Source organism: Homo sapiens, chromosome 3, assembly GCF_000001405.40.
Source record: "Homo sapiens chromosome 3, GRCh38.p14 Primary Assembly".
Lineage (NCBI taxonomy): Eukaryota > Metazoa > Chordata > Mammalia > Primates > Hominidae > Homo > Homo sapiens.
The window spans coordinates 142,441,869-142,463,713 of NC_000003.12; the positions used below are offsets into that span (position 1 = coordinate 142,441,869).

Consider the following 21,845-nt stretch of genomic DNA (forward strand, 5'->3'; position numbering starts at 1 on the left):
ACGGATCCTGACCTCAATTTGTATACTGAATTCGCATACAATTCGTATACAATTCATTCGTATTCATATACATACAATGAATTCGTATACAAAAAGTCCTTCATAGAAAAAGGACTTTGAAAAGCAGGGTATGCAGTGGTCAGTGATAATGGAATACTTGAAAATAATCCCCTCATTCCAGGAACTAGTGCTCAGCTGGCAAAACTAATAGCCCTCACTTGGGCACTAGAATTAGGAGAAGGAAAAAGGGTAAATATATATACAGACTCTAAATATGCTTACCTAGTCCTCCATGCCCATGCAGCAATATGGAGAGAAAGGGAATTCCTAACTTTGGAGGGAACACCTATCAAACATCAGGAAGCCATTAGGAAATTATTATTGGCTGTACAGAAACCTAAAGAGGTGGCAGTCTTACACTGCCGGGGTCATCAGAAAGGAACGGGAAATAGAAAGGAACCGCCAAGAGGATATTGAAGCCAAAAGAGCCGCAAGGCAGGACCCTCCATTAGAAATGCTTATAGAAGGACCCCTAGTATGGGGTAATCCCCTCCAGGAAACCAAGCCCCAGTACTCAGAAGAAGAAATAGAATGGGGAAGCTCACGAGGACATAGTTTCCTCCCCTCAGGATGGCTAGCCACCGAAGAAAGAAAAATACTTTTGCCTGCAGCTAACCAATGGAAATTACTTAAAACCCTTCACCAAACCTTTCACTTAGGCATTGATAGCACCCATCAGATGGCCAAATTATTATTTACTGGACCAGGCCTTTTCAAAACTATCAAGCAGATAGTTAGGGCCTGTAAAGTGTGCCAAAGAAATAATCTGCACTGCAGGCCATACATTTCAATCCCTGTATCTTTTTATTTTTATTTTTATTTTGAGATGGAATCTCGCTCTGTTGCCCAGGCTGGAGTGCAGTGGCGCGATCTCACCTCACTGCAAGCTCCGCCTCCTGGGTTCACGCCATTCTCCTGCCTCAGCCTCCTGAGTAGCTGGGACTACGGGCGCCCAACACGACGCCCGGCTAATTTTTTGTATTTTTAGTAGAGACGGGGTTTCACCGTGTTAGCCAGGATGGTCTCAATCTCCTGACCTCGTGATCCACCCGCCTCGGCCTCCCAAAGTGCTGGGATTACAGGCGTGAGCCACCGCGCCCGGCCCAATCCCTGTATCTTTAACCTCCTTGTTAAGTTTGTCTCTTCCAGAATCGAAGCTGTAAAACTACAAATCGTTCTTCAAATGGAGCCCCAGATGCAGTCCATGACTAAGATCTACCGCGGACCCCTGGACCGGCCTGTTAGCCCATGCGCTGATGTTAATGACATCAAAGGCACCCCTCCCGAGGAAATCTCAACTGCACCACCCCTACTACGTGCCAATTCAGCAGGAAGCAGTTAGAGCAGTCATCGGCCAACCTCCCCAACAGCACTTAGGTTTTCCTGCTGAGAGTGGGGACTGAGAGACAGGACTAGCTACATTTCCTAGGCCGACTAAGAATCCCTAAGCCTAGCTGGGAAGGTGACCGCATCCACCTTTAAACACGGGGCTTGCAACTTAGCTCACACCTGATCAATCAGAGAGCTCACTAAAATGCTAATTAGGCAAAACAGGAGGTAAAGAAATAGCCAATCATCTACTGCCTGACAGCACAGTGGGAGGGACAAGGATCGGGATGTAAACCCACGCATTCAAGCCGGCAACAGCAACCCCCTTCGGGTCCCCTCCTTTTGTATGGGAGCTCTGTTTTCACTCTATGTCACTCTATTAAATCTTGCAACTGCAAAAACAAACAAACAAACAAAAACAAACTAAAAATAGAGCTACCATATGATCCCAGCAACCCCACTGCTATCTGTGTTAATATAACCCAAAGAGAGGAAATCAGTATATCGCAGATATCTGCACTCCTTTGTTTGTTGCTGTACTGTTCACAATAGCCAAGATTTGGAAGCAACCTAAGCGTCCATCAACAAATGAATGGATAAAGAAAATGTGGTATATACACAATGGAGTACTATTCAGCCACAAGAAGGAATGAGATCCTGCCATCTGCAACCACATGGGTGGAAATGCAGTTCATTATGTCAAGTAAAATAAGTCCAGCACAGAAAGACAAACATTGCATGTTCTCACTTATTTATGGAATCTAAAAATCAAAACAATAGAACTCATGGACATAGAAAATAGAAAGATGGTTCCTAGAGGCTGGGAAGGGTAGTCGGGGAGTCAGGGGAGAGGTGGGAAAGGTTAATGGGTATAAAAGAAAAACTGAAAGAACGAATAAGACCTAGTCTGGGCACGGGGGCTCACGCCTGTAATCCCAGCACTTTGGGAGGCCGAGGCGGGCAGATCACTTGAGCCCAGTAGTTCAAGATCAGAGTGGGCAACATGGCAAAAACCCATCTCTATTTTTAAAAAGATTTAAATTAAAACAAACAGAACAAAAAAACACAGGCCAGGCACGGTGGCTCATGCCTATAATCCAAGGACTTTGGGAGGCTGAGGTGGGCGGATCACTTGAGGCCACCAGGAGTTGGAGAAGAGCCTGGCCAACACGGCAAAACTCCATGTCTACTAAGAACACAAAAATTAGCTAGGCGTAGTGGCACACGCCTAATCCCAGCTACTTGGGTGGCTAAGGCACAAGACTTGCTTGAACCGGGGAGGCAGGGGTTGCAGTGAGCCGAGATTGCGTCACTGTACTCCAGCCGGGGTGACAGAGCGCGACCTTGTATCCAAAATAAAAAATAAAAAAAAAGAATGAATAAGACCTACTATGTGATAGCACAACAGGGTGACGATAGGCAATAATTTAAAAACAACTAAAAGAGTGTAATTAGATTTTAACACAAAGGATAAATACTTGAGTGGATGGATACTCCATTCTCCATGATATGATTATTACACACTGCATGCCTGTACGAAAACATCTCATGAACCCCATAAGTATATACACTATGTTTCATAAAAAAAAATAATCATAATAATCCCAGGCTTCATTTCACTTTTTTAAAAAATACTGTTTTACAACATACTAATATACCATGTCTATTTTAATATGCATTTCTATATGCTATATGCTATAGCTAATAAATTAATTCACTCAAAAAATATTTACTGAGTACCCATTCTGTTATGCTGCTTTGGTTTTTTCTTTTTCAGGCACCTCTACTATTTGTCTTCTTTGCCTATCTTTCTTATCGTTACTTTTTCTTGAATCTTTTAAATCTATTTTATTTTTTAAAATTTCATCTTTCCACTGCCGATTGTTTTCTCAAATGGTATCATTTGCTCGTCTTGCTTCTATTTGAGGCTCAGCTCTGCATTTTTTTTTCATTTACTTCTAACTTTCTCTGTCATCTCATTCTCACATTTTCATAATTGATACACGTTGTTCTTTCATGTCTTACCTCATTTTCTTAATGCCTTTTAACTCATTGTGAAATAGATAATAGTTTTGGTTATAATTTTGGTCTATTTTGTGTGCATTTTTTTCATTGCAAGTTTTTATGTCTGGAGAGATACTCTGTCCCTTTTTCTCGTATAATAACTTTGTATGTAATTTGATCTCAATACCTTTCTGTAGCTCATTTTTATGTGAATTTAATTTTCTTGAACTTTTAGAATGAGTAGAGGTTCAGGGAATATAAGTTCACAAAGCTGTTTCTGGGTAGTGTTAAAAAATACAGTGGTTTGCTTTGTGGTTTGTTTTCTAAGATTTCTTGATTCTATGACTTTGCCTCACTTTTATATGGTCTATCTCCTTCTCTTCTTGTCTCTATTGTCCCTTTCATAAAATTTTATTCCACTTCCAGCATAACATTTCCGTAAGACTTTATTCCACTCCCTTTTCCTTAGGGCTCTGGTCTAGAATGGCACCTTGGCAAGTCAGTTTTGAGTGTTCACAGGAGGTAGACTACTCCTGCCTGTTTGGTCTTTCTTATGGTAGACCTTCACCCAGTCAATAATGGAGTGAATAAAACTCCTCTGTTTCAGCTACCGCTATCTAATTGGCCAGCACAGTCTTTTAGTGGATACCGCTGGCTATTCTGGAATTCTGTTCTAAGGTTCATCAGATGTTGCCCCATTGCTTCCTTCTCGCTTTTGCACAGATGGCAATATCAACGGTGTCTAGAGACTATTGATAGTTTGCCTCACCTAGTTATGTTTTGAGTTTCATGGGGATAGCATGTCACATGGTTTGTTGTAATTGTTTTATGGATTTTAAACTTTGGTTTCTAGTTTCTCTTTCTGTTTTTACAAGATGATTCAGAGAAACTGAAAACCTATGCTACTGAGGCCACACCACTGACTTCCCGTAACTTACTTCTTCTCCCTATCCTTCCCGCCCAGGACTAGCTTTTGAATGCCTGTGACTTATTTAGGCATTACCATCTTTAAGTTCTACTTAACAGAGAAGCTGATAACCTTTGGTCTCTTTTTAATCAAACATTTTTGAAAGGTATCACAACAATGAACCAAATTTTAAAATTTATTTACAGTGAAATTTAAAAATAATTCTCCTCCCAGTTTCTATATAAAGCTTTCACAAAACCTATCCTTAGTGTCCATGTCATAAAACTGCATTAAAGAGATTTTCATTCTTCAGTAACAAAATTCCTCAGGATGGAGAGAATCTAAGATATTTTCACCAAACCAAATTCTGTGCCACAGACTACAGAATAAAAATATTACTGAACAAATTATGTATTAAATCATCACGAATAACAATCGCATTATTTTTGCACTTTAGAGATAAAGTGACTGATATATAGCAGGTACTGACTGAAGGATGCAAGAAAAGCCAAAGTTGGTTGTCTCCATTTCTGCAATGTACTGGTTTCCTTTTTAGCCCTCCCCGGGGGAAAAAAATACCTCTCTAAACCTAACTCAATCTATGTTTCAAATAAATTCAAGATAAGCTAACCTTGGAAACTTTTTGTAGTCTATTTCTCATCTACCAAATCTGATTGGAATCCAGCAACAAAAACTCCTTTCCAGAAGTAAACTACCTTCATGTTCGTAAATGCCGATTAAACCATAATTTAATAGGCTATTTACAATACTACCCATCACAACTGATTCAATCAGCTACACAAATTTCAAGCTTTTTTTCTGTAAAGCATCAGAAAAGAGATCAAATTCATTAAATGTGACAAACACCAAAGTATCACCCAAAGTCTAGTTTACCTAATAGACGACTGCTTTCTCCTCTCTTTCCACAGTTCCAATATATAAACTACGTTTTCGGAATCTACACATTAACGTTGTCCTGGGGTCAGTACATGCCAAATATTATTAGTAGTATTAATGTTCTATCAATTCGTTTCCCAACCCCCTCTGTCACACAGTGAGGCCTCCAAATAAAAGGTCCTACGCCCCACTCCCCAGCTGGCCCAAGAGTTTTTTGTTTTGGCAACAGGGGATTGGTGCTGCTTTTGAAATAACAGAAAGTAACAAAAGGCATCACCAATATGACCATCAGCCACGTCGGAAAGTCTAGGCTCCGGGGGCCGGGTGGGCCGCGCTCTAGATCAGGGAAAGTAAACAAGGTGACTGCGTGCGGAAGCGGCTGTTATCGTCTGTAAGTGGGTCTGCCGCTCTGGGTGGGATGGGGGAACCTACGAGGACACCCACTCCAGCTTCGCAGCCTCTGTAAGGAAAAAGGCAACTTGCAGCTCCCCGGGAGGAAACCGGAGAACAGTAAAAGCGTTCTTTCCCAGGACTTCATTTCGGAGTCGCGGAAGGACCAGCAGAAGCAAGAGCTGTCAGAGAAGCCGTGAACCCAGCGGCTCTGTCCACACACAGGCAACCTGCGTCCTTAGCCCCTTTCGGCTCATCCGGGCGTCCTCAAACCTTCCGTCCCCCTCCCTAATGCCACTAATCGTCCAGACGACGAGGGGAAAGAGGTGGCTCGAAAGCCCCAGCTCTAAGGTGGAGAGGGCCGCGGAGCCCCGGGTCCTCGGCTTTCTGAGCCGTTGCCCCTCGCTCACCCACCTGATGCTCTTTCACCACTTCGCTGAGACAGGGATACCGCTCTGAGATCCATCTGTAAAACTTGGGGACTCCCATTTCGATCGTCAACACTAATCCCAGTCAGGGCCAAACCGAAACCAAACGCCCCGCCGGGGCTCCGCCGCAGCCTCCGGTCGTCGCTCCGCGGATGACAACACACCGCCCGGCCGACCATAGAGAGCGCCCGGCGGGCCTAGAGCGGCAGGATCCGAGGCCGTCCGAGGGGCGGGGCTTAGCCCTCCGGGCCTCGCGCGGCCGGGGCCGCGGTACTGTCCAGTGGCGGTCAGGGAATCTGCGGAGGTTTGCTGGTGTGTTGCAACTTAGGGGCGAAAATGCCCCATGATAGAGTTGTGCTTTCTAAGTGGATTTGGAAGTGGCATGAAAACCGTACGAAGGTGTGGGAAGGGTATCGAACACTGATTTTTGTTCCGCTTGTCTCCTAGGGTTGCTAATCTCAGTATTTTTCATTCAGATTTCGAAAGATCTGGTGATTTACTTGGCTTAGTTTGTTGTTTTGTCAATAATTTTTTTTCTCTGAGGAATTTAAACTTACGTTTCTTAATACATACGTTTAAAAACGTTCTTTTCCAAATTGTTCAAAAAAATTTCCCATGTACCCGCCCCCCGCAACTGTTAACATAAGACCTTGGATACGAAATCATTTAATGTTTAGTTTTGACATTCTTGCATCCGGGTTTATCATATTTTTCCCCATCACACTTTCAACCGCACAGCAAAGGAGAGTTCTATCAACTTAAGTGAAATTATCAGTTTTAAATGTAAGAGTTTTCCACTTATTTGAATGTATTAACCCGTTACTTTGTATTTAAGTCTTCTGGATGAAAACTTACAGAAAAACCTTAAACATTTAATACTTTTTGGATTTTAAGATCTCAGGAAATGTTAAGTATCGCTGTCTTTCATGACCACTGGATTCTGCATTCTGGGACTGCAGTATGGCAGCATCACACAAATTACAGAATGTTTATTTCGTTTTCACATTCACGCTTCTTGGCTTATATTTTTTCCCTATCACACTTTAAAACAAAGTTTTATTAAGTGAACTTAATGATATGCTATTTATATTTATATATCTCTCTTACTAGACTGTCACTTCCTGGAGGGCAGGAGAGGGTAGCTCTATGCACAAGTCTGGCACAACGCCTTGCCCACAGTATTTATTCCATATAATTTTGTTCTTCAAGTGAATCCTTACAATAGCTAGGACTTTTAAAAGGAAATCAATAGAAGTTGTAAAATGAAATTAGACTTGCTTGTTTCTTGCAAATATAGTTTTTGACCATAAGAACACATGATATTCTATTTCTCCAATTATAATGCACAGTATGTATTAAGAAAGCAGTTTATTTCTTAATAACTGAATGTATATTATTTTACATATAATTAATGATCAGAGAGAAATAACAGTTGCTGAGAACGTAAATTTATGTTGTACTTTAGAATTGAACAGATACAACCACAGATTCATACCAAATGCATTACTTTTAGATTATTAACATATTCTTTTACATAATTTCATTTCACATATATGGAGTCCAACCAAGATACATCTGGCATAGTAAGTTTTCATCAGTAGCTTCCTGTATAAGGTAATGCACATGTCCTTCAATAGATAACGGCAGTCCTGTCACTCTATTTCGAGTCTTGATTACACCTTGTAGTCGCTGCTCAATGTCAAGAACATGGGTCTTGGCCTAAAAAGAAGAAACATAAAACCAAAAACAGATGTTAATAATTTGGAATTACTACCTTTCTTTATATTTTGACATTTAATAAATGTTAATACCATTTTACTGACCAATACCCCTTTTGTAAGAGCAAATACAGGAAAAGAAGAAATTAAACAAATACAGTTAGCTTGTGATACTGATTTGGAGGCTCGCAAGATTGATTCAACATCAACTGCTTGGACATGTTTCTGGACTACGTGAAATACCAGGGAATTATTTACACATTACAATTCTAGAAAAATAATTTTTTAAATCTGCTTTGGAAGTGTTTAGGACTTAAACATTTCAATGAATATTCAAATAACAATGCTGTACTGCCTAATATTTACATTATGTTAGTACATGCAAATGGGTGTTCTAAGTGAGCTACTTGGAACTGTACAATTTCTTAAGCATATCTGAATGCAAAAGGAAGAATAACGTTATTAGAAGAATAATTCTCAGAGGTGGTGCTGGGTGGGCTGGTGGGCTGCGCTGCAGCCCACGAGCACAAAGAGGAGGGCCACGGGGTGGAGACTGTTGCTGTGCCATCTGCCATCGACTTTTCCGCCAAGAGCCTGGACTCCAAATATGACTTATGTTCCAGCAGAACTCCAGGTATTAAAATAACCCCTACAACAGCCAACTTTCCCTTTTGCAGTTGCAAACCAGCTGCCGCTTATTTCTTTGGTGAAGCACTTGAGCCATGTGCGTGAACCAAACCCAGTTCATTCAAGACAGTGTTTAAGTTACTTTGCCAGACCTTTATCAAAATGGGGCTGCTGTCTTCTTTCACTTGTGACAAGTTTAGCTCATTGAGACTACATCACCACAGAGCTATTACTCACTTAATGAGGTCCACTAAAGAGAGAGTTCATCAGGATCCTTGTGAGGCTATTTCTCATATCCAGAAAATCAGATCAAGGGAAGTACCCTTTGAAGCACAAACTTCACGTTACTTAAATGAATTTGAAGAACTTGCCATCTTAGGAAAAGGTGGATATGGAAGAGTATACAAGGTCAGGAATAAATTAGATGGTCAGTATTATGCAATTTAAAAAATCCTGATTAAGGGTGCAACAAAAACACATTACATGAAAGAACTACGGGGAATGAAGGTGCTGGCAGGTCTTCAGCACCCTAATATCATTCGTTATCACACTGCGTGGACAGAACATGTTCAAGTGGTCCAACCACAAGCAGACAGAGCTTCCGTTCAGTTGCCATTTCTGGAAGTGTTCTCCGACCAAGCAGACAGATACCAATACGGTGTTAAAAATGGTGAAAATAGCAGCTCACCCATTATCTTCGCGGAGCTCACCTCAGAAAAGAAAAACCCTTTGCAGAATCTGACACTCAAAATCAGAACAACAAGCTGTGAACTACACCATCAATTCCGTCTTAAGAGACACCAGTGAATATGAATCATCCCTGGAGCTCCAGGAAAATGGCCTGGCTGGTTTGTCTACCTGGTCAATTGTGAAACAGCCCCTGCTGCTCAGGTGTAATTCCCTCCTAGAGGAGAATTTCACATCCACTGAGGAATCTTCCAAAGAAAACTTCAACTTGTTGGGGATCGAGGTGCAGTACCACCTGATGCTGCACATCCAGATGCAGGTGTGCAAGCTCCAGCTGTGGGACTGGCTAGCTGAGAGAAACAAACAGGGCCAAGAGTGTGTGGGCAAGTTTGCCTGTCCTTATGGCCAGTGTTGCAACAAAAAATTTTCAAGATTTAGTGGAAGGTGTGTTTTACATACATAACATGGGTATTGTAAACAGAGATCTGAAGCCTAGAAATATTTTTCTTCATGGCCCTGATCAGCAAGTAAAAATAGGAGACTTTGGTCTGGCTTGCCCAGACATCTTACAAAAGAACACAGACTGGACCCATAGAAACAGAAAGAGAACACCAACACCTATATCCAGAGTGGGCACTTGTCTGTATGCTTCATCCCAGCAGTTGGAAGGATCTGAGTATGATGCCAAGGGTCTCACTCTGTTGCCCAGGCTGGAGTGCAGTGGTGTCATCATAGCTCACAGCAGCCTCCAACTCCTGGGGTCAAGTGATCCTCCCACCTCAGCCTCCCAAGTAGCTGGGACTACAGGAGTGTGCCACTGAGCCCAGCTAATTAAAAAAAAACAAAAACTATTTGTAGAGACCAGGGCTGGCTTTGTCCAGTTAGATATGTATATAGCTTGAGTGTGATCCTGCTAGAGCTCTTTCAGCTGTTTAGAACAGAAATGGAGCGAGCAGAAGTTTTAACAGGTTCAAGAACTGGTCAGATATTGGAATCCCTCAGTAAAAGGTATCCAGTACAAGCCAAGTATATCTATCACTTAACGAAAAGGAACATGTCCCAGAGACCATCTGCTCTTCAACTGCTACAGAGTGAATTTTTCCACAATTCTGGAAATATTAATCTCACCCTACAGATGAAGATAATAGAGCAAGAAAAAGAAATTTTTCTTTTAGTTCTTTTAGAAGAACTAAAGAAGCAGCTAAACCTTCTTTCTCAAGACAAAGGGTTAAGGATGACATGAAGGATGGGGGCGTACAGGTCTAGCCTTCCTCGAGCTATATCAGTAGGATGAAAGTGGACTTAAACTCTTTAGGTAGTTAACTGGAATGTAAATTTTTAATCTTTATTAGCATATAGTTGGTATAATTCATTGTATTTAGTAAGCCTGTACAAGACTTATTAAAGATGTAAGAGTGCCCCCCACCAAAAAAAACGAATCCTCAATCTATTCTAACTTATTAAAAACAACTATCTGAGCTAGGCACAGTGGCTTATGCCTATAATCCCTGCATTTTGGGATGCTGAGGTGGGTGGATCACTTGAAGCCAGGGGTTCAAGACCAGCCTGGCCAACATGGTGAAACCCATCTCTACTAAAAATATAATAATTAGCCAGCTGTGGTGGTGCACGCTTATAATCCCAGCTACTTGGGAGGCTAAGGCAGGAGAACTGCTTGAACCCAGGAGGCAGAGGTTGCCGTGAGCCAAGATCGTGCCACTGTACTCCAGCCTGGATGACAGAGCGAGACTCTGTCTCAAAAACAACAACCACCACCACCACCACAACAACAACAACAAAACTATCTGCAAACTTTGCAGCTTCAACTAAGTAAGAAGTGAATTGCTGCATTTGTTAACATAGCTTGTGACATACTGGTATCATGATATTAAAGCTCAGACCTGTTGTTCTGTAAGTTCAGGCAATTTGTACTATAGTTTTTCCTACTGTATCTCATAACTGTGAATTGTCTATGGTTAAACAAGTGTGCCATGAACTTTTATTATACAAATGCGAATACTGTTAACATTACTGACAATAAAGAAAACTTATGGCATTGTGATACTAGAGAACTAGATTTCAGAGTAATCAATAGTCACTAACAGTATTTCCAAGCAGTTCTCATGCATAGAGATGAGAACTATAGCTGCATATCAAGTTCATTTGTAGAGATGAGGACTACAGCCCATATCAAGCTATACCTTCTACTAACCTTTTCATTGACAACTTCTCCAGTTTCATTCAGTGGCGCTTTGGAATGCCCTTTCACTGGTTTACTCCATTCCACAAGAGGATCATGTAGAAAAGTCTTTAAGACACTAAAATTGAAACAAATATTATGGTATGATGTTATCTTTGCAAGAAGAAATCTTGCTGACATCAATATTTAAGTGAAGGATGAGAAGCTAATGGTAATACTCTTATAATACACATTACTACGTCTTCATTAAGTTATGTGAAATTTCTGTTTTGGTGTGAGGGGAGGGTAAGAGAAGGGAAGGCAGGAAAAAAGGCAAGATAGAGGGGAGTCAGAGGTGTTTTGGAGAATAGAGTAAGATGGGTTCTATGTGCCATCTCTAAGTGTATACTGTGAACTGGTAAATGACTATATTTTGAATGAAGGAATTTTATCCCTTACCATGTCTTCAATAACGATATAACATCTATAGCTACCATATAGACCTAGCCCAGACCTTTTTTCTGCACCCTAAACATCAAATCCAATTACCTATGGGAAATACCCAGTTGGATATGTTCCAAACACCTCAAACTCAGTATCTCCAAAATAAAATTAATTACCTTTTCCCAACTATTTCTCCTGTATTCCCCAAATCATCATCCACCCATTTGCCCTAGACAAAAATCTAGGAATCATCCTCACCCCGTCTTCCTCTAACATGCAATTACAACTCCTAAATCTCTTTGGAATCTCTTCAGTTATCTCCGTCTCTACGGCCGTGACACTATCCAGTACACCATCATCCTTTCCTGGGTTACTGCAATAAACCTCTAACTAGTTTTCTGGCTGTTGGCCCAAACTAGGACCCTATTTTTTCTACAGTACAAATCAGATTATCTCTTTCCACCCCTTGCCCCCTTTTTATTCCTTCTTAAAATCCTCAATGACTTCTGGTTGCTCTGCAGGCAAAGTTATAATGTAGTAACAGGCCCCATGTGAGACCTTCATAATCTAGCCCCTGCTTACCTGTCCTGCGTCATCTCTTAGCACCACCTCCTGGAAGTATACCCTCTGGAATACATACTGTATTTCTCAGGCAGGCCATGACTTCACTTGCCTTGATATTTTTATCACTCAGAACACTCTCTTCTCCCTTGCATGGTCAACTTTATTAACTTTTAAGGTCTCAACTACTTCCTCCAGAAATTATTTCTTGACTGACCCAGACTAACACAGGGGCTCTTGGTAACTGTTCCACATGATGATATACTTCCTATTTCAGAGAATTTGCTTTTGCATATGTCCAACTAACCAGTATTCTACCATAATGTCTGATAGACAGCTTTTTTTTTTTTTTTTTTTTTTTGAGACGGAGTCTCGCTGTCGCCCAGGCTGGAGTGCAGTGGCGCAATCTCGGCTCACTGCAGGCTCCGCCCCCTGGGGTTCACGCCATTCTCCTGCCTCAGCCTCCCGAGTAGCTGGGACTACAGGCGCCCGCCACCTCGCCCGGCTAATTTTTTGTATTTTTAGTAGAGACAGGGTTTCACCGTGTTAGCCAGGATGGTCTTGATCTCCTGACCTCGTGATCCGCCCGCCTCGGCCTCCCAAAGTGCTGGGATTACAGGCGTGAGCCACCGCGCCCGGCCCGATAGACAGCTTTTAAATAATGAAGGTGAATAAATAAGCTTTAAAAGTCCTTTCAAACAATCTGTTTCCCACAGCTAACATCATACTTAAAAGTCAAAGACTGACTGCTCTACCCCTAAGATCAGGAACAAGACAAGGATGTCCACTTTTAGCATGTCTATTCGACACTGATTTAGTTAGGGCAAGTAGGCAAGAAAAAGAAATAAAAGGCATTGATATTAAAAAGGAAGAAGAAAAACTGTATCTGCAGGTGACATGTTATTGTGGAGAGAAAATCTTAAGGAAGGCACAAAAATAATTATTAGAACTAATACATGAATTCAGCAGATTGTAAGATACAATATCAATATATAAATATCAATTATATATCTATGCACTAGCAATGAACAATCCAAAAATGAAATTAAGAAAAATTCCATTTAGAATAAAATCAAAAGGAATAAAATACTTAGGAATACAATTTTTAAAAGTTAAATATAAAACTTGACCCTAAAAACCACAAAACATTGATGAAAAAAATAAAATTCAAATAAATGGAAAAACATTCTATGTTCATCGATCAGAAGACTTAACATGGTTAAGACAGCAATACTCCCAAATTGTTAAGACAGCAATACTCCCTAATTGATTTACAAATTCAATGTCCTTCCTATCAAAATCCAAGCTGATTTTAAAATTAATATGGAAATACAAGGGACCCATAATAGCTAAATGATCTTGGGGGAAAAAAAGCAAAGTTGGAACACTCACACTTTATGATTTCAAAATTTACTACAAAGGTACAACAATCAAAACACTGTGTTGTTAGCATAAGGTTAGGCATATAGATCAACAGAATATTGCTGAAAATCAATTGACCATTTCAACAAAAAAGCCAAGATAATTAAACGAGGGGCAAAATATTCTTTTCAAAAAATGGTGCTGTGACTAATGGATATGCACATGCAAAAAAATGAATATGGACCCCTACCTTACACCATATCTACAAAATAACTGAAGACAGATAAAAGATTTAAATAGCAGAGCTAAAAGTCAAAAATGCTTAGAAGAACACATAGGTGTAAATCTTCATGACTTTGGATTAGGGAATAGTTTCTTAGATATGACAACAGAAACACCAAAAATAACCAGAAGAAAAAAACAAATTAGACTGCATCAAAATTTAAAACTTTTATGTTTCAAAGGCCATCATCAAAGAAAGTGAAGAGACAACCCACAGATGGAAGAAAATATTTGAAAATCATATCTTAAAAGGTCTTGTATCCAAAATGTGTAAAGAACTCTTGCAACTTGGCTGGGCGGGGTGGCTCATGCCTGTAATCCCAGCACTTTGGGAGGCTGAGGAAGGTGGATGGCTTGAGCTTACGAGTTCAAGACCAGTCTGGGCAACATGGCAAAACCCCTTCTCTGCTGGGGAGGCTGAGGCAGGGAAATCACTTGAACCCACGAAGCGGAGGTTGCAGTGAGTGGAGATCACGTTACTGCACTCCAGCCTGGGCGACTCTGTCTCAAACAAAGAAACAAACTCTTGCAACTCAAGAATAGGCCAGGCATGGTGGCTCATGCCTATAATCCCAGCACTTTGGGAGGCCAAGGTGGGAGGATCACTTGAGGTCAGGAGTTCAAGACCAGCCTGGCCAACGTGGTAAAACCCAATCTCTACTAAAAATGCAAGAATCAGCCAGACATAGTGGCTCATGCACACATGCTGTCCCAGCTACTTAGGAAGCTGAGGCACGAGAATCGTTTGAACCCAGGAGGCAGATGTTGCAGTGAGCCAAGATCACGCCACTGCACTCCAGACTGGGTGACAGAGCGAAACCCTGTCTCAAAGGAAAAAAAAAAAGAATAAAAAAACCCAATTTAAAAGTGGGCAAAGGATTTCAATAGACATTTGTCCAAAGATGATCTACAAATGGCCAACAAAGACATGAAAAGATGCTCACCATCACTGGTCATTAGGGAAGTGCAAATTAAAACCACAATGAGATACAACTTCACATCCCTAGAATGGCTAAAATAAAAAAGGCAGACAATAACCAGGATAGATAAAGATGTTATCTAAAGATAGAAAAGATGCAGAGAAGTTGAAACCCACATACATTACTAGTGGGATTATAAAGTGTTACAACTGCTTTGGAAAATGATTTGAGAGTTCTTCAAAATGTTAAGTACAGCATTTAACATATGACCCAGCAATTCCACTCCCAGGTATACACAAGAGAACTGAAAACATATGTCCACATAAAACTTGTGCACAATGTTCACAGCCACACTATTTATAATACACAAAAGGTGGAAACAATCCAAATGTCTCTTAACTGATGAACAGAAAAAGAAAATGTAGTATATCCATATAACAGGATACCATTTGGCAATAAAAAACAATGAAGTACTGATACATGATGAACACTGAAAATATTACATTAAGTGAAAGAAGACAAACACAAAAGGCCACATATTAGATGATTCCATTTATATGAAATGTCCTGAATAGGTAAATCCATAGAGACAGAAAATATTATAAATGAGTGGTTACAAGTAGATAGCAGGGGTGGGAGGGGGAAGGGATCAGGAGTGACTGCTAATGCCTACGGAATTTCTTTTTGGGCTGATGAAAATGTTTTAAAATTAGATAGTGGTAATGGATGCACAATCTTGTGAATATACTAAAAACCACTGAATTATGTACTTTTAAAGGGGTGAATTTATGGTATATAAATTATATCTGCATAAAGCTATTATTTAAAAAAACTATTTCAGTCAGTACAAAGTGGTTTCTACATAAAAACAAACATATGTAGGGGCCAATAATTATATTCGAGGTTACTGTTAAATTATTTACAAAGTATAGGTGATTACCTCATTAAAGGCTCTCGCTGATCACGCATCAGCCTCATTGTAACTTCACATGCTCTTCGAAAAAGACCCTCTGTTCCCATAGGACCCATTCCATTAACCATATTATGAGTCAGGCGAAATGGCACAATTTCTGGAACTTCAAAGGTTTCTCCCTTAGAAACAATACATTTTATTACAAACTAACAATGTTAGAATTTAAAAATCTTTACTCAAAGAACTTCATGTCCAGATTCTTTTAGCAAAAAGCAAAAATACCCTCAAAATATTTATGTTGTAATTACTTTAGAAGTTTGTAACATGAAGGAGCCATGTAGCTCTGCCTTTGCTTTTACAGAACTGAAACCATACTTGATCTTGGATAAGATCTAGGAGATAAGTGGACTTACCTTTCACTGAGTTTAGTACAGTGAATAAGCAGTATTACAGAGAAATTTTATGCATTCAATATTTAGTCTCATATTAACTTCTTTAATGTCTTTCTTGAATAATATGAAATACAAATATTCTCATATATTTCTACTTTTCTTTAACACTTTCATCTTAAAACAACAGAAGCAGCCAAGGGTCAGATGCTCACATCCCCTCATAAAGGAAATAAAACATGTCATATAATGAAGTCCAGTTGTTCATTTTCTGCTGTCCTCTAATCTGCCTTTTCTAGGGACCTTTCATCCCTTGTCCAATCAGTTACCCTAAATTCCTCTCTTGTATGGTTTAACCCATGCCAGTATTTTATCTCTGATTTGTTCTCAGTTGGATCTATGATCTTTCTTGGTTTCTTGTGACAGCACAAGGCAACCTGTAGATGATGGAGGTGAAGAAAATAGTGCGCTAACCTACCAGTCTGCCCTGCAGGATTATAATATTGGAAAATTGTAGGGGGCCTTAAAGATGGGTCCAATTGCCTCAATTTATTCCCAGGTCCCACTCTGGACCTACAGAATCTGAATCTCCTGGGTATCTATAAATTTTTTTTTAATTCTTGGATAATTCTGATATGTTGCTAGAATTGGAAACTATCGTATTAAACTACTCTGTCTCTCTAAAACTGAGTCTCAGTAAAATGAACTGATCTGCCCTTATTCACATAACTAATAACTAATTGAGTCAGAACCTAAACCTATGCTCTTGGACTTCAAATTCAGTACTAGCTTTACAGTATCACTCTTCTAAGTTCTCTCCATCCTAATACGCATTACTACATGATCCACTGATGAAAACTAGTCAACAAATTCTCAGTATAACTCAACTGTGAGTATAACTGCTACTAACAGGTATGTCAAGGAAGATACAGTTGTTGAGAAAAGGAAATTGAGAGAAAACACAATTAGTAAGAGTAACTCATATCACATACCTTATTGAAAAGACAATTGAAATCTACATGTACGCATTCACCAGTCAAAGAATCAAAGAGAATATTTTCACCATGACGGTCTCCAAGCCCCAGAATATAACCAACCATTGACATTACTGCAGTGGAACGGCAGTAAGCTGATCTACTACTGTACCTAAAAGAAACACAATGCCTATGAAATATCCATATACATATGAGGCCAATATAAATCTAAAATATTAAAAATAAACATTCAACCATAACAACGTATTATATTCTTGGTAACTTACCATGATGTAGGATCAGGGAATGTTCTCAGAAACCACTCATGAAAAATAGGAGGATGCCTGGGCAGGAGAAATTCTCGGAATACTTTGAGTTTTTCAGATAAAGCTGCTGACTTTGGTAGCATACACTGGCGAAGTTCTTTTCCTGTCATATACACTCCTGCAAGGAAGAGTGATATCCATTAATCACATCAGCCAAATGAAAAAAGGGGCAAAGTTTTTTTTGTTAAAATTGGACAAGAAACATCTACTTTTATTCAAATTGTTATTGAAAAACAAGAATAAAGGAACATTTTTCAATTAAGCATACATAAAGTTACTGATTGTATAATAAAATAATAAACCACATTATCTTCCCTTAATACAGATGACCCTTGAACAACATGAGTTTGAACTGTGTGGGTCCACTTACATGTGATTTTTTTCAACCAAACATGGATCAAAAACATGGGATGTAAAATCAGTATATACTGAAGGCTGACTTTTCATACATGCAGGTTCTGCAGGGCTGACTGAGACTTGAGTATGTGTGGATTTTGGTATGTGAGGGTATTCTGGAAGCAATCCTCCAGATAAGGAGGGACCACCGTACTTACCCAAGTGAAGCCTCTTATTGATGAAAATTAATGTCAGTTAAAACCAGTGTTGTGAAATCAAATAGTTCCAGAATACAAGACTCAAAATTAAGTCCCATATGAATGAACTTATTTTGCATATATGTGTACATATCAATATATATGTATATATACATATATTTTTTACACTGACACAAATTATCAAGAAAAAATATATTTTCAAATCCAAACTCAGACATATACAATATGTCATGCTCATAAATAAAATAGTCAACAGCAAGTTCTTTGAACTCTGACTCAAGTGTCTCTGAGTTTCAGTTTTGCAACTGTGAACTTAGACAAGTTACGTAAGTTCTCTGGCACTGTCCATAAAATAGGGATGGATAATCAGGCGTGTTAACAATAATAAATAAAATAATGTACATAACATACTTGGCACAATACCCATTATATAGTGATTTATCAGTATTACTTAATGTTATAAATTGAACTTTATCTCTCAAAAAAATATGCTGAAATCCTAATTCTTGGTACCTGGGAATGTGAGCTTATTCAGTAACAGGATCTTTGCAGATGTAATGTTGTTAAGATAAAGTCATTAAGGTGGGCCCTTAATTCAATAATCCAGTGACTGGTGTTCTTATGAGAAAATAGAGACACAGAGACATAGAGAGAATGCTATGTAACAATAAAGGCAATGTGGTACAATACATCCAGAAGCCACAGAACACCAGAAGGTTAAGAGAAAGGCAAGGAACATTAGCCTTCAGAGAGATCATGGTCCTAATGACAACTTGATATTGTATCTTTAGCCTCCAGAACCGTGAGATGATAAATTTCTATTGTTTAAACTCGCTTAGTTTGCAGTAATTTGTTATGGCAAATACCATACAAATTATGTATGAAAACATATACTTATTTTCTACTTCACTTTGACAACTTGATCTATTCATTTTTAATGTATTACACCATATGAACTTTAAAAACGTCTTATTTTAAAACAAGTTTAGATGTTACAAAAAGTTGCATCAATGATACGGAGTTCCCACATATTCTTCACCCAGCTTTCCTTAATGTTCATATCTTGCGTAACAATAGTACAATTATTCAAATCAGGAAATTCTTATTATTACAGTATTATTAACCAAACCTCTGACCTTATTCAAATTTCACCAGCTGTCCCACTAGCACACTTTGTTTAGGGGTCAGGATCCAATCCAGGATTACACATTACATTTAGTTGTCATCAAATGTCAACTCCTTAATGTCATCAAATCTGGGAATTCATTACTTTGACATTTGTAAGGAGTTCGGACCAGTTATATTTATATTTCTCTACTGTAAAGTTACTATACTTTTCCCTTTATAATTGTTAAGTATCTGATAGGGAGATACTTCAAGATTCTTCAAATAACCTGTTTCTCATCTTTTGCCTATTAATTTTAGCATCCATTAATAATCACTGCCTGCAATAATAATTACTATAGTGTTTGCTAATTGCTGATTTCCCATTTCCATCATCCTTTCTACATTTATTCATTGAAATTCTATTAGTACATAAGGAAGAACTATTCCCACTTCCCTATTTATTTATTTACTCAAATATCTGTTTATATCAGTATGGACTCATGTTTATTTGTTTATTCCATGGGTTATAATAGTTTACAATCATTATTTATTTTGCTACTCAAATTATCCCAGGTTTGGACAGTTGGAGCCTCTTATTCCAATCTAAAACGTCAGACTTCATTCTAGCCTTCTCTCCTTCCTTTCTCCAATAGTGAGAAAACTGGCTCTCATTATACAACATATTTACTTACTTGCTGAAGACTAGTACTGTATATACATAGTTTCAGAATTGTTAACCAATATCTGTGAAAAACAAATATTCATATATAGTTTTGTAAGCTACCTCAAATCCTGTTGGGATGAAGACAGGGAAGGAATCAAAATGGAAGGAAGGAAGGAAGGAAGAAAGGAAGGAAGGGATGGAAACACTTAAGTGTTTCTGTATATAAAATCTAGAAATTTCACTATAGCTTATATCAAAAAACATATGCTAGCATATATTAATACCAATTATACCCATATTATATAACTTAGTACCCACACTGTATATGTATAAGAATTAATTTTAGTACCCTTTTCTTTATATAGTTTGGTCAGAATAGGTCTCAAACCAGCAGTGTTGTTCACCCATTCAATAATCCCACATTCATCATTTAGTGGAATAACTGCATATGTTCGAATATGAAGTTCTCTTCTACGAGACTCTGCATCTTTTCTTAAGCACTGTTAAAAAATACACATAAATTTAAAAACAAGATAGAACTCAAAATTTCTAAATGTTATATCAAATATATTTAAAGATTGTTCATTTCATAACCAAAGAATGTCATTGAAGGCTTACTATGTGGTATACATGAATAATTCTTCTGAATGGTAGGAAGGAAGCTACTGGGACAGTATCTCTAATCTATTTACAGATTATTAAAAATGTCCTGGGTAGGTCCTTCTTTTTAATTATTCACTATTAATGTGACAAGAATATTGTATTTAAAATATTTAAGTTGTATATTTAACAATGACAAAATGCTGCTGTTTTATTTTCTATTGCTTTATAGGTATTACTGAAACATTAAGTCTTTAGGCACAGAGACTGCTATTTAATTTTTCTTTTTTTTTTTTGAGATGGAGTCTTGCTCTGTCGCCCAAGCTGGAGTGCAGTGGCTCAATCTCGGCTCACTGCAAACTCTGCCTCTCGGGTTCTTGCCATTCTCCTGCCTCAGCCTCCCGAGTAGGTGGGACTATAGGTGCCTGCCACCACGCCCAGCTAATTTTTTGTATTTTTAGTAGAGACAGGGTTTCACCGTGTTAGCCAGGATGGTCTCGATCTCCTGACCTAGTGATCCGCCTGCCTCGGCCTCCCAAAGTGCTGGGATTACAGGCATGAGCCACTGTGCCCGGCCAATTTTAATTATTTCTAAAATACATAAACAAAAGAGCATGAGTTCTATGACATCCTCAAAATGTATTGCTCCTCTTGCGGTTTATCACAACCTTATTTCTAAAGCTATCCCTTAGCAGAAGAAAGCCTTACATATTTCATCTGATTGATCCTGATATATCAGGTGGAAATAAACAGTATTATGTTTAATTCTAGACCTGTATGAAGTAAGCACACATCTGTAATTGTAACCTGCTCAATTCAAAAGCACAATCACTGATCAAAAATACATTTTACTTTAGGAAATAGGTTCCATAACTACCAGGAAAACAATATGGCCATAGAATCTCATATAAAGATCAGTGTGTGGCCTCCAAAACTAACATAGTTTTTTACAAAACTATGTTAGTAAATATGTTACTAACTAAGTTAGTATGTCAGGCTATTTTATTTTACCATGTTTATGAGGGAAAATGTAACAAAATACTTTAATTAAAGTAACAAAGCTGATTAATGTAAATTTATAAACTAAAGCCAGGCCACTTGATACTCAAGTAAATCTGATACTCAGAAAAACTCAGGGAGCTTTGGAGAGAACATACTAATGGTTCAGTAGTTAGTGAATTAAGGTACCATTTTAACAAACAATACTTTTTTGTTGTTGTTGTTGAGACAGAATCTCACTCTGTCACCCAGGCTGGAGTGCAGTGGCACGATCTGGGCTCACTGCAACCTCCGCCTCCCAGGCTCAACCAATTCTCATGCCTCAGCCTCCCAAGTAGCTGGGAATACTGGCGTACACCACCATGCCTGGCTAATTTTTGTATTTTTAGTAGAGAAAGGTTTTTGCCATGTTGGCCAGGCTGGTCTCGAACTACTGGCCTCAAGTGATCTGCCCGCCTCAGCTGGGATTACAGGCATGAGCCACCACACCCAGCCCAAATAATATGTTAAAATAAAAAATAATC

The 21,845-nt window shown here is 38.9% G+C and overlaps 2 protein-coding genes and 1 pseudogene across 18 annotated transcripts in view, besides 3 other annotated features; 1 reads left to right on the forward strand and 2 right to left on the reverse strand.

Moving 5' to 3' along the window:
* XRN1 (5'-3' exoribonuclease 1) overlaps nt 1–6,169 on the reverse strand; it is a 141,428-nt gene extending 135,259 nt beyond the window's left edge. For all 12 annotated transcript variants that reach the window (XM_047448357.1, XM_047448356.1, XM_017006640.2 and 9 more), the window contains exon 1: nt 6,002–6,169. In XM_047448357.1, coding sequence (XP_047304313.1) covers nt 6,002–6,076 — 75 coding nt within the window. In that variant the 5' untranslated portion in view covers nt 6,077–6,169. The remainder of the gene's footprint in view (nt 1–6,001) is intronic.
* Nucleotides 2,213–2,419: a silencer, noted in NCBI's record as "fragment chr3:142162923-142163129 (GRCh37/hg19 assembly coordinates)". NCBI's record gives its function as "represses an EF-1alpha promoter that drives an FKBP-Casp9 reporter gene in an ReSE screen in K562 erythroleukemia cells {active_cell/tissue: K562}" and the evidence as "EXISTENCE:reporter gene assay evidence [ECO:0000049][PMID:32094911]".
* Nucleotides 3,995–4,354: an enhancer, noted in NCBI's record as "active region_20641". NCBI's record gives its function as "activates an Ori minimal core promoter by ATAC-STARR-seq in GM12878 lymphoblastoid cells {active_cell/tissue: GM12878}" and the evidence as "EXISTENCE:reporter gene assay evidence [ECO:0000049][PMID:35858748]".
* Nucleotides 5,887–6,166: an enhancer, noted in NCBI's record as "active region_20642". NCBI's record gives its function as "activates an Ori minimal core promoter by ATAC-STARR-seq in GM12878 lymphoblastoid cells {active_cell/tissue: GM12878}" and the evidence as "EXISTENCE:reporter gene assay evidence [ECO:0000049][PMID:35858748]".
* Nucleotides 7,367–21,845, reverse strand: part of ATR (ATR checkpoint kinase) — a 129,499-nt gene continuing 115,020 nt past the window's right edge. For 4 of the 6 annotated variants that reach the window (NM_001354579.2, XM_011512925.2, NM_001184.4 and 1 more), the window contains 6 exons: nt 20,072–20,222; nt 17,359–17,515; nt 17,090–17,243; nt 15,736–15,887; nt 11,260–11,365; nt 7,367–7,734 (listed from right to left, as the gene is read on the reverse strand). In NM_001354579.2, the coding sequence (NP_001341508.1) occupies nt 7,561–7,734; nt 11,260–11,365; nt 15,736–15,887; nt 17,090–17,243; nt 17,359–17,515; nt 20,072–20,222 (894 nt within the window). In that variant the 3' untranslated portion in view covers nt 7,367–7,560. Of the gene's footprint in view, nt 7,735–8,690; nt 11,366–15,735; nt 15,888–17,089; nt 17,244–17,358; nt 17,516–20,071; nt 20,223–21,845 lie in introns of those variants that run through there. The other 2 variants (XM_047448361.1, XM_047448360.1) reach the window with 2 other exon arrangements.
* EIF2AK1P1 (EIF2AK1 pseudogene 1) lies at nt 8,211–10,469 on the forward strand (annotated as a pseudogene).